The following is a 15,264-nucleotide window of genomic DNA, read 5'->3' as shown; positions in this document are numbered from 1 at the left end:
ATAACTTAAAACCAAGTTCTAGTTATACTATCTATTACTCCAATTTGGTCTCAATAAATCACATGAAAGGAAGGTAGATATTGTTATTTTCATCTAAGAGGAAACCCAGTTTGAGAAAAATGAAATAACTTGCTTAAGGTCACAAATCCAGTAAGTAGTGGAGGCTAAACTGAAATCAAGGTTTTCAGGCTCCAAATTCTCTATTTTTGAATGTTATATAACTCAACCAAGTAAATATCATATATTAAGGTAAAAAACATCTTTCACACTTTTATACTACTAAACTCTATTACAATTCTCTATAGAATAACACATGGACATTTTAGCAGTTCTGTAAAACATCAGAGTAAAAGCTTTTCACCTGTAACTCACTGTCAACTGAAAGACAAATTTTACTCTCTTAAAAATAGAAGAAATATCATTTGCAAGTAGAAAAGACAATGATGCACTTTTTCATTTTCTTAACTGGAATTAAAATTATATTAACTCATCATTTTTCTCTTTCATATCACAAATAACTTATTCTGCTTCTCACTATTGTAATGTGTTTTTTTAAAGTCTAACAACTCTTTCACTTATTTGACAACATTATATTAGAGTTAAAGTTAAAAACATTTTTTCTTTTGATGTTTAAAAATACAATACAAACAATGGAAAATGGAATTTGCATGTCATTGTACGTTGCAGACTCCAAGTGGAATTTGCTAATCACAAATTCCAATAGCATATATATTCTTATATCTCTAGTTGTTAAACTGATCGTTAATAATTAAACTTTTCAAAAATATAGTGTATATTTTAATTATATAAGAATATGTAAATTTTGGATGCAATTAATATTTAAACCATTAATCTGCACTTCAATAATACAGAGTTGACTCTTTTGAGATAAAAGTCAGCCAGGATTACAAACTCTAGTAGTATTTTTTAATAAATAAAAAATATTGAAGAAACAGCTTTGTTTTCCAATCCCTAGTTTTCTTCATTTGGTAAATAAATGTTTGCTGAACATGTATAAAATGTCAAGTATTGTGTGTGCTTTGATAGTTATGTATAAGCATGAGATATGAACTGTTCATAGAATATTAATCTTTTTTGCATATTTGCTTATTTCATGTTCTTTTTTCAGTAAGACTTTGTGCCTTATAATTGCATATAACCCAACAGAATGAAATACAATAAAATTAATTAGATGAGGACATCAAAATGAAAGAAAAATAAAAATTCTTTGAAACCAGGGACTAAGTTAGTATACAAAGTCCATGCCAAGAAGAATTAGTTTCTAGCAATGTATTCCACATGTGGCTCTAAGTGTTCTGTCTATCCACAAATAGAAAAAAACAGATACAATTACATGATTCAGATCTTCCAGAAGTTAAATGAACATACACACAATTGTTTTGTTCAATAAAAGGCAAAACTATTCCTTTTAGCTGCATAATAAAAAAATCTCTCATTATTCTTTTTCTAAGAGTACTGAAAATAATGGCCATCAACAATAACTTTAAGTAAATAATCTGATGTTTCACAGAATATTTTCTTGTAATTTCCCCCTCTGAGTCTTTGTAAGAATATTTTGTAAAAGCACTTCTGTAAGATCTGAATTTTGTGTGGTTGAGTATTAATACTCTATGCAGGTCTGGCTTCATTACAGGAAGAATTTCCAGTATCCAGAGAAAATGGCTGGCCCATAGTCCTTCTGGCATGCCTTCATAAATGCTGCTTATTTTCACTAACCTCTCCATCTGTACTGAGTGGCAGTATGTTTATGGTTATTTCCCTCGAAAAGAGACTAAAGTTCAGAGAGCCTTTATTGTGTGTTAATTGCAAATCCTACACTAAAAAAGTCAGCTAAACCTGGGCTAGTAATGACGCAAGCATGAATCAAAAGGCATCTCACCTTTGCTCAGAGGGAAACTTCAAGGAATCCTTGAAGTCAAACATCCCTTCAAAGACTGTTAAGACACAAATGAATAGGGATTGGGCCCCAAAATTCTGAATCAGAGCATTACAGGATGTAAATCTCATGGAGAAAAGAACACGTACGTCCGGCAGAATGGGATAGGCACATATAATTCTAAACAGCACATAGTTTGAGATTTACAGTTAAATAGTAGAGATGACTGAGAATATTGTTGACCCAGGGCAAGGAAAATTTTGTCATTGGGCACAATTGAGAATAATGAATTTATAATAAGCTGGATTCAGACAATTCTGTATCCTTACCCATGAATGGATAAACCAGAGAGTGGGACTAATAAAGTGTTCACAGATTGCATATTTTATTTGGAAAACTATCAAGGATAATTAAAGGGGCAAGAGATTAGCTAAGATATAATTGGTTCTGGGAACAAAAGCAATAGAGTTCCATGAAGCAAAGAGCATTCATGATTTGGGTGAAGCGGGGCATTCACCCAGAATAAAAGACTTGCTAAGTTTGCTCAGGTTACATCAGGGACACATGTAATATAGGTGGTTAAATAGATGGGGAGGTTAATGCCCATAAATTCTTAGTCCAGCATTCTCATGATGACAGGAAAAGTAAGAAGATATTGTCCTATTTATGTGAAAACTGGCATGGAAAAGGGAGAAGCAAAAGAGAAAATTTTACAATCCATTAATTAGTTTCATTAGCTTAAGATATACTCACATATAGGCCGGGCGCGGTGGCTCACGCCTGTAATCCCAGCACTTTGGGAGGCCGAGGCGGGCGGATCACGAGGTCAGGAGATCGAGACCATCCCGGCTAAAACGGTGAAACCCCGTCTCTACTAAAAAATACAAAAAATTAGCCGGGCGTAGTGGCGGGCGCCTGTGGTCCCAGCTACTTGGGAGGCTGAGGCAGGAGAATGGCGGGAACCCGGGAGGCGGAGCTTGCAGTGAGCCGAGATCCCGCCACTGCACTCCAGCCTGGGCGACAGAGCGAGACTCCGTCTCAAAAAAAAAAAAAAAAAAAAAAAAAAAAAAAAAAAAGATATACTCACATATATGCATCATCAAAATTCTGGAAAATTAGGCCACTACTAACACAGCTTCCAATATGTTGGTAAAGCAATAGTTCATCAAGATTAAAAATAACTTAGTATATACATTTCTCAGGTACATTTTATATTTTTAGTCAAAGAGCCCACACAATTGTTTTATGTTGATATGGAAAAGACAGTGCTGACCCATTTCTCGTAAAGTGAGAAACTAGAACTTTTCTTTCTTTCTTTCTTTCCTTCTTTCTCTTTTTTCTTTTTTTTTTTCTTTTTTTTTGAGACAGTTTCTTGGCTCACTGCAACCTCTGCCTCCCAGGTTCAAGCAATTCTCCTGCCTCAGCCTCCCAAATGGCTGGAATTACAGGCAACCGCCACCACGCTCAGCTAATTTTTGCATTTTTAGTAAAGATGAGGTTTTGCCATGCTGGCCAGGCTGGTCTGGAACTCTTGGCCTCAAGTGATCCACCTGCCTCGGCCTCCCGAAGTGCAGGGATTACAGGCATGAATCACCGCGCCGGGCCAACTACAAACTTTCTTCTAGAACACATAACGTTAAAAATAAAAATGTTAAAATTAATGATTTATTTATTTTTACTGCACAGTTGAGTTGATGTTAATGTAAAGTAAATTCTTAAAAGATACAATCAACAAGTAACATTCCTTTTGAAAAGTATGCTTGTCCTAGATTAGTGTTTGCTACTTACTCGTCAGTTCTAATCACCAAGTTATAATTATATGTTGGAGAAATTTGGGGGGGAAATTTCTGTGAAGGATCAATGGGAAGGTGCCAGAGAAAACAGGCAGAGCCTTTGGATTTTGATGCAAGGCTGAAATTTGTGAATGGAAGTAGGGCGTGCAGGAAGGCCCTCATATAATAGGGCAGCTCTGAAAACAGTAATGTTGGCCAGAGAGATGGTGAGTCCTGTAGCCAAAGTCAGAGGAGTGCACATCCTACAAGGATGAGCTGGCATTATTAATTCTGTTTCGCTTATTCATTAGCTGGGAAGCCTGAAAGAACATGGCCTTAGTGGTGGTAGATCCAGAGTGTAAGAACAGGGAATATTAGTCACCTCAGCTTCTTGCATCATGTTCTCTTGATGGCATTAGAAGTACACCACTGGGGTCCCATCGATGCAGAGTTTGAGATTTAATAGGCCACACCCAAGTGTGAGACAGTAAACAAGGACTATGGCCACATAGTCCAGGTAGAGCTTAGATTAGCACCCCTAAATGAGACTAAAACATTCAAAAAATTAAGCAAGTTCTACCCCATAGAAGAGGATGGAAGATAACCATGACTGTCTCAGAGACTGTTCTGTGTAGAGAAGGGAAAGAGAAGACTCCTGGCAGAATTCTTCTCCATGGGCTCTCCTTCACACCGGGGAAGGGTCCCAGAAGACCTTAAAGTCCCAAATGTGGTTTTAAAATGGTCTCAGGTCAGGAGCAATCCCAGATATCTGGGACATGCAAACCCAAATCCTATGCTGAGGAATGTACCCTAAGCCCAGTCCTCAAATATTCCCTCAGATAAAGTTCTATGGAAATGAGTTCCCAACAAAACTATCACAAACAGATGGAGAGGGAAGTCTCTTTGAGCAAATTTATAGATAAAACAAAGGATATGATCAAACCTCAAGTGGCTGTGAAACTTGAGGGTCTTCATAATAAAAATACAATTTAAGGAGCTTGTAGGTTGGGTGCAGTGGCTCACGCCTGTAATCCCAGCACTTTGGGAGGCAGAGGTGGGCGGATCACTTGAGGTCAGGAGTTGGAGACCAGCCTGGCCAACAAGGTGAAACTCCATCTCTACTGAAATACAAAAATTAGCCAGGCGTGGTGGTGGACGCCTGTAATCCCAGCTACTCTGGAGGCTGAGGCAGGAGATTTGCTTGAACCCAGGAGGTGGAGGTTACAGTGAGCCAAGATCATGCCACTGCACTTCAGCCTGGGTGACAGAGCGAGACTCCATCTAAAAAAAAAAAAAAAAAAAATTGTATAGTTCATGTGAGCAGAATTCTAAGTGCTTTTATAAGTAACTCATCTCCTCCTCATAATTCCGAAAGCAGGGAATGTCATTTCACGACACAGCCAACAAATATATGGTGAGTGCCAAAAGCATCAAGATAATACAAAAATAACAGCAGCGAGGAAAGCAGGACGTCTACCACCTTCATGGGGCTTGCCTTCTAATGAATACAAAATCAGTATGAGCTCCTGTTTTCTCTCTTTCTGTCCCTGTGTGTCTGTCTGTCTCTTTTTCTCTCAATCTCAAAACATGCATGTACACAACACATATACAACACAAACATTTCCTTTGCAACTGAAAATAGACAGATGAAGGATAATGAAAAAAACCAGAAAAGCCGCAAAATAACAAAATGATATGTGTAACAGGCATTGAAATCATCAGCCAAAACATTATATAGCCTAGCTACTGTGTGATTTTGTATAAATGAAAGGAAACTAGGAAGAATTTCTAACTTCACCATCTTCTTCCTGGGAAACCATGGGGAGAAGGTTTAGTCCCTGTTATTTTCAGTTTGCATCTCTATACATTTATTTACATTTCTCAACCTAACAATAACAGTGGAATTAAATGAAACCAGAAAGTGTTATGATTTAAACGGGAATAATTTTTCTGGATTTTGCAGGCCAACTGATACAAACAACAGAATGTTTTATTTTTATAAAATAGGCTTAGTGGAAGCCACACTATTACTTCCTGGTCTGTGTTTGTCATCATCATTTTACTATTTTTTTAACTAACAAAAAAGTTGTATATATTTATGGTGTACAACAGTATGTTTTGGACTATGTACACATTGTGCAATGGCTAAATCAAGCTAATTAATATATGGCTTACCTCACATACTTACCAGATATTAAAGTGAGAACACTTGAAATCTACTCTCAGTGATTTTCAAGCACTCTATACAATACATTGCTATTAACTATGGTCGCCACGTTGTATAACAGATCTCTTGAGCTTGTTATCATCCTCATTTAATGTTAATACACGAGAAGATAAGTCCAGGATCTGTCTTTTATTACCTTTATTGGTTTCCCTATATAGTGCTATCTACTGTTACACTAGATTTTTCCTATGCAATCCAAGAATAGAGATTTTCTAAAACAATTAATTTAGTGACTTGAATGCAACTGGTTGGTAATTCTGTTTTTATTGTCAAAAGTGTAAATAAATAATTTTAAATAACATGAGTTCATTCTCTTTAATATTGGCCTATGAATTATTTGTTTATGATTCATAGGCCAATATTAAAGAAAATGACTCATATTATTTATAAAGTTTATAATTTGAGATAAACAGGAAAATAAAACAATACTAATTTTAATAATAATAAAAAACTGTTCTGAGGGATTAATGCAAGGTTGTTACAGTGTGAACACTTCACATGCATTACCTATTTTCATGCTTAGAGCGACCTAATGTGCTAGTTACTGTCAGTGATCAGATTATACCGATGAGGACCCTGAGAAATAGAGAAGATAAGAAAACTAATGAAGTTAAAAAGAACAGAGCATGGACTCAAACCAATATCTGACTCAAAGCCCAATCTCTCACCTATTAGTTTGCAAATGTTATATCTATAGGTGAACTCACTAAAGCCTTCAGACATAAGATTCAAAACTGTGGTGTTTTCACAGTTAAATTATGAGTAATGTTTACTATTATATAATTTCTAAATAGATCAAGTTCTTGTTATTTACACATTTATAGACATAAAGTTTTGAGACATCTGGGTAGAGACTGAAACAATAGACTGGAACTTAAAAGCAGAAGTTTAGATGAGAGGGATATTTAGGTGTATTAATAAGGATTGAGGCTGTAAAAATGAATGAAATTACCCGAGAAAGCATTTCAAATAAGCAGAGAGGTGGGCTTGGCTGGGCACAGTGTCTCATGCCTGTAATCCTAGCACTTTTGGAGGCCAAGATGGGAGAACTGCTTGAGGCCAGGGGTTTGGGACCACCTTGGTCAATATAATGAGACCCCCATCTATATTTAAAAAAAAATTAAAAGTAGAGAGGTGGCCTGAAACACAGACATAGAGTTACCCAATAAGTGGGGCAAGGAAGTATAACCATGCAAAGGAAACTGATAAAGAGGGCCAGATGAGGAGATAGAAAATCTGGTCTGTGGGATGCCTCAGAAGCCAAAGAAAGATGTTTCCAAAAGAAAATGATAAACAGCTTTAGTAGTTGGTAGAAAGAGGATAGAAAGCTTTTCCATAGGATTGAGCCAACCTGAGAACAAAGGTGACCTATAAGCTGCAAAGGTAAAGGGATGGCACTAGAAGTTCTAAGGTAACCAGAAGTTTGAATACATTTGAAAACCCATTGCAGAGAGTAGGAGAGTAAGCTGACTAGGTATACAATTTCAGGCAATTTAGGAAAAAATAATTGAAGGACTGATTATAAATTTATTCATTAATTCAAAAAGTGTCTGATAGTGGCAGTAAACACAACACTGTTCTGAGTGGTTTGGGTATATTTGCAGTGTAAAACAGACAATATCCTCTGCTCTCATAGAAATTAAGGTCCAGTAGAATGATAAAGAAACAATAAATATCAGGTAAAAATGTTTTAATACAATACATTAGAAAATGGCCAGTGGGTTTTTTTTTTTAAGTAGATCACAACAATTAGAAAGATCAAGAGTGTTTGAGGTCAAAGCAGGTTGCATTTTAAAATGGGATTGACCCACTGCTGTATATCTACACCAAGGAAAAGGAATCATTTTTATAAAAAGACACCTGCCTGCTATGTTTATTGCAGCACTATTCATAATAGGAAAGTCATGAAATCTACCTCAGTGCCCATCAATGGATGACTGGATAAAGAAAATATGGTACATACTAGGGCCGAGCACGGTGGCTCATGCCTGTAATCCCAGCACTTTGGGAGGCCGAGGCGGGCAGATCACCTGAGGTCAGGAGTTCGAGACCAGCCTGGCCAACATGGCGAAACCTTGACTCTACTAAATATACAAAAAAATTAGCCAAGTGTGGTGGCAGGTGCCTGTAATCCCAGCTACCCAGGAGGCTGAGGCAGGAGAATCGCTGGAACCCAGGAGGCAAAGGCTGCAGTGAGCCTAGGCTGCGCCATTGCACTCCAGCCTGAGTAACAGAGCAAGACTCTGTCTCAATAAATGAATAAATAAATAAATACAGTAAAGAAAGAAAGAAAAAAGAAAATATGGTACATATACCAGCCATAAAAAGAATAAAATCGTGTGTTTTGCAGCAACACATATAGAGCTGGAGGCCATTATCTTGGGTGAAATAACTCGAAAAATCAAGTACTGCATATTCTCACTTATAAGCGGAAGCTAAACAATGAGTACACATGGACATAAAGAGGAAAATAATAGGCATTGGGGACTCTAAAAGTGGGGAGGATAGGAGAGAGATGAGGGTTGAAAAATAACCTATTGGGTACAATGTTTACTTTATGGGTGATGGGTACATTAGAAGCACAAACCTCACCATTACCCAATACATCCATGTAACAAACCTGCACATGTACCCCCGTACTTATAATACAAAATAAAGTGGGATTGACAACAATACTCAATTTGGTTGATATTTCAGCAACAATGTGGACTGAAAGAAGTGAGAATTAGCCATGCGGATATCTAGGGAATAGCACTCTAGGTATGGGAACAGCAGTGCAAACTCCCTGAGGTGGCAGGGCAGCGTGCATGAACAGCGAGAAGAGAGTAATAGGAAATGAGGTTAAGGAAACAGTGGGAATGAGTGTAGGGGCCAGAAAGTGTAGGAACTTGAAGGCCACTCCAAGGATTTAGGTTTTACTGAGTGAAATAGGAGCCTTCCTATTGCTAACAATATACACTAGTCCCCTCATTTCTCCAGTGGGGTTCAGTGTAGGATTTCTATGCACTGAGAGTGGCTTCATAAGTAGCTTTGACAATTACCACAAAATAACAGCATGAGGAAGGAATAGTTTACAAGTGTCTTATGAAAATGCAAACCATATGTGTTCTGCTTAATAATGAACAGAGGTAAGAAATTAATGGGTGGCTGTTTTAGAAGAATGGAAGAGAAATGGACTGAGGTTTAATGCGTACATTTGTATTCTCATTCACTGATATAAAGATAAATACATTGAATCTGGATCCAGGATTTGAGGCTTTTTCTGCATCAGACCCTCCTGTTCTTAGTCAAATCATTTCCATTTGTAAAACTAAATTACTATTTCAAAGTGCTCAGACAGAAATGGGACAAAAAAAGAAGATAATTTTGAGCCAAAAATGTTTTAACATAGCATGAAGCTTTAAATTAAAAAAGACACTTCTTAGTATTACACTTCTGGAATTTAACCTAAATGTAAATCCTTTTTTTTTTTTGGAAGCAGGGGCCTACTGATCATTTATTCTTTCATGAAACGAAACAAATAAACATTTATTTATTGACTATGAAGATGGGTCTCGGGGAAATATTCCCTTTAGAAGCTCACAGTCCAGTGTGCTTCTTCTCCACTTTCTGTGTGGTAGTGAAGTATTTTTCCTTTTATAAGTACAAATGAATTACTCACTTTTTGATTCCAGTCAATGCAACACTAGAATTATTCAATGAAATTACATTTTCTTATGGTGCTCAGAGGACGGCCCACTGCCAATGTAATTGAGGCCCTTTCAAAACGTAATTTCCATTAACAATGTTTACTCTGAAATTGTCTCTTTGGCTTTCTTCATATGACAGAATCTATGATTGAATGAAAGTGCTAGGTTTGAGATTACTGCATCTATAAATGTAATATTTACTTTGAGTATTAATGATTGTAATGGTTGGCTTTTAAGATCATTTCAGTTGCTTTGATAACGGAATAGCAAGGCAAGAAATTAACAGTGACAGATGACTTCATTAACTAATTCCAGTTAAATAAACCTCTGATTCTCTTCCCAGCTCACATGTTGTTCACGTAAATGCTTGGAGAAAATGTGACGATTATAGTTCTTTTTATACATTTTAATATACATGCATCATACTGAAAATTTTATATATATTATATAAGGTAAGAATTATTCATAAATTTATAAAAGCAAATTCCATTCTCTGACTGGCAATAAGATCCCTTAACACCCATATATATTTCCCATACAGGTATTATTAAAATGAAAAATATACAGTTTTTAGGCATATATCCACTAAATCAAAAGCCCATTTTTGTTTAAATAATTTTCTTTAGCTATATATCATTTTTGAAAGCACAATTTATAATGTTCAAAATAGAATGTGTTCCAAACTTTCTCTTAGAGTGCTCAGTGAGAAAGTACTTATATTTATATCCATTTTGAAGCAGTCTTCAGAGAATCATACTTTAATCAGGAAATCTGAGCTTATGAAAATGTTCATTATATTGATTTTTTTTTTCCATATTGCTGTGCACACTGAATCTTGTCCCAGCAGGCTAATGAAATACTTTATTTCATGATGTGTCTCTAGGCTATGGAGATATGTGACGTGTTATGGCCAAATTTTGTGTGATCTTCTATATTGAAAGAGTCACCCACATGTCCCTAAAAGATACCCATACTTGCAATTTTATAAAAAAGTGAATTTTGCTCAAACACATTATTTACAGATGTTCAATCAGATAAGTTAAAACCAGACAATTTGTAAATGATTTAATTGAATTTTAAGGGATATGGAGAATAAATCCAATGAATAAATATCATTTTTAAATGCATCTCATATTTTGTAAGAAAATATATTTACAAAATGGAAAACTGCATTATTAAAATACAAACTTTATAGCAGTTTTATGCAAAATAGTATATAGAACAGTTACCTGATTTGTAACAAAAGGGTAGCTCTGTATTCTCAATACAGATCATTTCCCTTTAAATGTTCTTGTCTTTTTAAAATGCTTTACAAAATAATTGTTTCATTATTTATTAGAGAGTTCATAATAAGTTTTCTTTGCATAAAGTATTCATTTGTCATTTAAAAATACAAAATTAATTGACTATCAATAAAAATGTTTGGAATATTTTTCATTTTCTATTTACTGACTAGTATAGAGCAAACTAAATGAGTTTTGGAGTCTCTCTTTTACATATGTTTTACATTGATATGATTCTTCCTATAAAGTCATAAATAACTTTTACAAGTATAAACACTGCTGCATGAAGAAAAATACTGACCTAGTAATCTCCTAGGTCAGATTTGGATTCAGCAGCACAGAATGGAAATCCAATTATAATCTCTTAAACAAAGAAGGATTTATTTTTCTCGTGGGTCTTATACAGCAACCCAAAGATTGGCATCCTGGGTCTTATACAGCAACTCCATGATAACATCAAAAAAGGACCTTTTAATTTCTCAATCAAACATGTGGCTTTCTTTTTTATGATCGTAAACCAGTTTCTGCATCTCTAATCATTATTTTGGCAAGCCATGGAAAAGACAAAGGAAAAAATGGGAGAGATTAAAAAAAAAAGCAGCAAAAAGTACATGCAGTATGAATACAGGTGGATACAAAGAAAGGAACAACAGACAGGGCCTACTCGAGGGCAGAGGGAAGGAGGAGGGTGCAGAATGAAAACCTAGCCATTGGGTACCATGCCTATAACCTGGGTGATGAAATAATCTGTACACCAAACCCCCATGACACTCAATTTACCTATATAACAAACCTGCACACGTACTCCTGAACCTAAAAGTTAAAAAATAGAATAAAATAATTAAAAAAACTTTTCCTAAAAAGCCCCAAAAGATTTTTCCCATGTTTACTGCATAAGGTGAAATGAAGTCACATGTGTACTCTAGCTCTGAGGCATTCTGGGAGGAGTGAGCATTTTAATTGGGCAAAACACAGCCATTGATGATACATGCTGTGACTATGGAAGGATTCTATTAATAAGGAGAAGGGGAACGGGATATCAGGTAGGCCTCTAGCGGTGGCTGTCATGCTCATTAACAACTTTGCAATCAGATCCCAAAAGGCTAAGAAACTGTTAAAGACATTGCTTAAAATAGATGTTCACTAGCTTCAGTGAAATAAAAGATAGTGTATCTCATTGTCTTATGATTTAATGTTCTGAAGTAATCATTTGCTGAAAGCTACAACAATTAATGGTGACAAATTTAGAGGGTGAAGTCACGTCTGTGTTTTTACTCCCTATGTTCCAGCTACCTAGGATTGGGCAAGTTATTTAATATGTCTTGGCCTTTATTTTCTAATTTATAAAATATTCAGGAAAAGGAAAACTGCATCAATGAAATTTTCTACAGTACTGATTACTTCTTTTTTCTAATAATGTAAGTAAACAACAAATGCAAAGTAAAAAGTCTATTGATTTTAATAGATATGATAGGCTTTTTTTCGAGCTGAATAGATATTAAAGGAAGTATAAGTACCCTTTTGCAGCTGAAGAATATTGTAAACTAAATTGCACATTGGCTGAATTTATATGTATGGCAGGTAAAATATTTGTGCACTATCCGATCATCACTTGAAGACAGAATGTAATAATCTTTAATTCTTCTACATGGTAGAAATGTGAAGGTCCTCCTGGTTGCTGCAGTATTTCCAGCCAGTAGCAATATATACTTTCTAAGTGGAGATTAATGAGTAATTATGTCATTTTACACCTGGAAACAGTCATGGTGATGGACTGATTCCAGATTGCTACAGTAAGAATGAAGAGGTTGAGTCCCACCCCTTGCTTATTTGTTGAGATTAACTAGATAAAGTGATCACCAAAGTTGAGTCCTCCTACTCTTTCTGAGACTTATACATATAGCTTTATCTGTTTGGTCTTGCAGATATCATTTGCACTCAGGCCAACGGCTGATGTGATGCCAGGCTCAGTGTTCTGTGTGGCATTTTCCTAGTACACATAGATATTGGCTCAGGCTGTCAAAGATAAAAAAAAAATAACCAAAAAACATTAAGCATAAGAAACAGCACATGGGGCTGAGTGTGGTGGCTCACACCTGTAATCCCAGAGCTTTGGGAGGCCAAGGCGAGAGACTAGCTTAAGGCCAGGAGTTCAAAACAAGCCTGGGCAACATAGCAGTATTCCATCTCTACAAAATAATTTTAAAAAGAAAAAAGAAAAGAAAAAGCAAATAGCAGGAGTCACATTTCTACACTGTGACTGAACTTCATTAATAACAGCAAATGAGCAGATCGGCTCAAACAACCATGGGAAAAAGAAACTAGACACAAATGGGTGGAAGGAAATACTAGGTAATGCCTAGTAGTGCAAAGTATTTGCATTGTACTAAACTCTTAACTTTTTATTATTTTATTTAATTCTCCCAACTGCCACAGTTATTTCCCTTTTACACATACAAAGTTAATTATTTTGCCCAAGGTCATAGCACCAAACCCAGGCAGTTGATTTTAAAGTCTATGCCTTTAAGTGATATTCTACATTATATCCACCTGGAGATACAAAATAAATTCTAAAAAATAAAACTTCACTAGTGCTGAGTATATATACTTGTTTGAGGAAAACCTTGATAGATTGACCTATCGACATTTATGACTGGAAAATCCCATTGCAGATGCGCACCTGTACACTAGACTTGAAGTTCCAAAGAGATGCCTTTAACAGATATTGTTCACTAATACTCAGATTTATCACGAACATTATGGAAGACATTTAATGGCTACAGTACTCTGAGAGACATGATCTGGGAATATATGTTTCAGGCTGCTGCAGTTCTTCTCAGGTCAAATCATATTTCTTGTGAAGATAGTGCAGTGTTAACTGATAGCGCATCAAACCTGAAGGGACAGTTCAATGGGTTTGTGTGCCGAGCTGGAAAAGAAAGTCAATTTTCATTTGCTTTTAGACCCACATTTTGAATCAGACAATATTAGATACAATGGCAGTCTCAGAAGAGATGGTCTCATGTTTGCCTTTTAAATGTTGGTGCTTCATTTTTAAGACCAAGATACAAGTATGTGAGAAAAAGCACCCAGAGAATACTGAATGGTAATTCTCTCATGATGAATAATATGTCTACCTTAATTGATACTTGAAGAAAAATTGGTAAGTCTCAGCTAAAGCATAGTAACTAAGGGTTGGTTTGTAAAATAAATAAAGAAAAAAGGAAAGGGCTACTATTGCTTTAATAAAGATTTCCTGCCAGTATGTCCTGCTGCAAATTGTAAATGGTGGAAGCACTTCACCTCTAAGCACTGTGAATGGAAATGGAGACCGTTAAGGCAAACTTTAAGATTAAATACTTTCGTTTGTGGTATTTAATTTTCTCTGTATGATGTTTTAAAACAATTAAACATGCATAAGTTATAGTAAATATAAGATCCTTCTTTATCTATGCCTCATTTTGAAGGAAGAAACCTTCCCTTGAGAAGGAAAAGAACGAAGAAAGACAGAGCCTAGGGTACTGTGTATCATGAAATGAAGGGTAGAACAGTTTCTCAGGAGACCAACTGTGGTTCCCTCATTCAAATGACACACGAGAAGACACTGTCATATGTTTAAGTTTGCTTTTATGTAAGGAACTATTTACTGCTATTCTGCTTAAAATGCTGACCCTTAAAATATTTTATAAAGATCTAACATCAATGCAACTTTACCCAGCCAATTATAAAGAAGTAGGCTGATTTTTCTGATATTTTGTACAGACATTTTTAAAAATTTTAATGTAAACTTTGATATTGTAATTATTAATAACACAAAAGGATTAGTTCTCATTTTAAGCAGGGAACTATTTGTGTCCTCTGTACTACGTAAACTCAACATAAGATGCAAGAGAAAACTAACATTATGCTAATAGATAAAACCACACATGATCTGTGGTGGAAGGACTGGAATTGCACTATCACTGAAGTGCAAATGTATATATATATTTAAAATTTTGAAAGCTTACACTCTTCTCAGATTTAGTTTAAAAAAGATTCTAGTTTCATTCTCTCCTTTATTGACTGCTGTTTCTGCTACATGACCAAAAGTAGTTTTCATTGTTCATGTTTGGTTTGTTTTGCTTGTAGGTAAAGCTTATTATAATTAAATACATAGAGCCAAGGAAGGGAAAAATTAACAGTTACATAAGAGAATAAGGAGAAAGTAAGAATGAAGGTCAATATATACTCCAAACATTGATGTTTCTGTCTCCTTCACATACAGATATTGGCCTCGTGTTGTAGCCTTAAACCATCTGATCCAGACAGGTCAAAGCAAGAACTTTTTAAAAAATCTCTCTTCTTTTCAGCAAGTTTTCCCGCTAAGGAAACACATTCTCATCCCTCAAATCACTTG

Source organism: Homo sapiens, chromosome 5 (assembly GCF_000001405.40).
Source record: "Homo sapiens chromosome 5, GRCh38.p14 Primary Assembly".
Lineage (NCBI taxonomy): Eukaryota > Metazoa > Chordata > Mammalia > Primates > Hominidae > Homo > Homo sapiens.
This window is presented reverse-complemented; position numbering follows the sequence as displayed.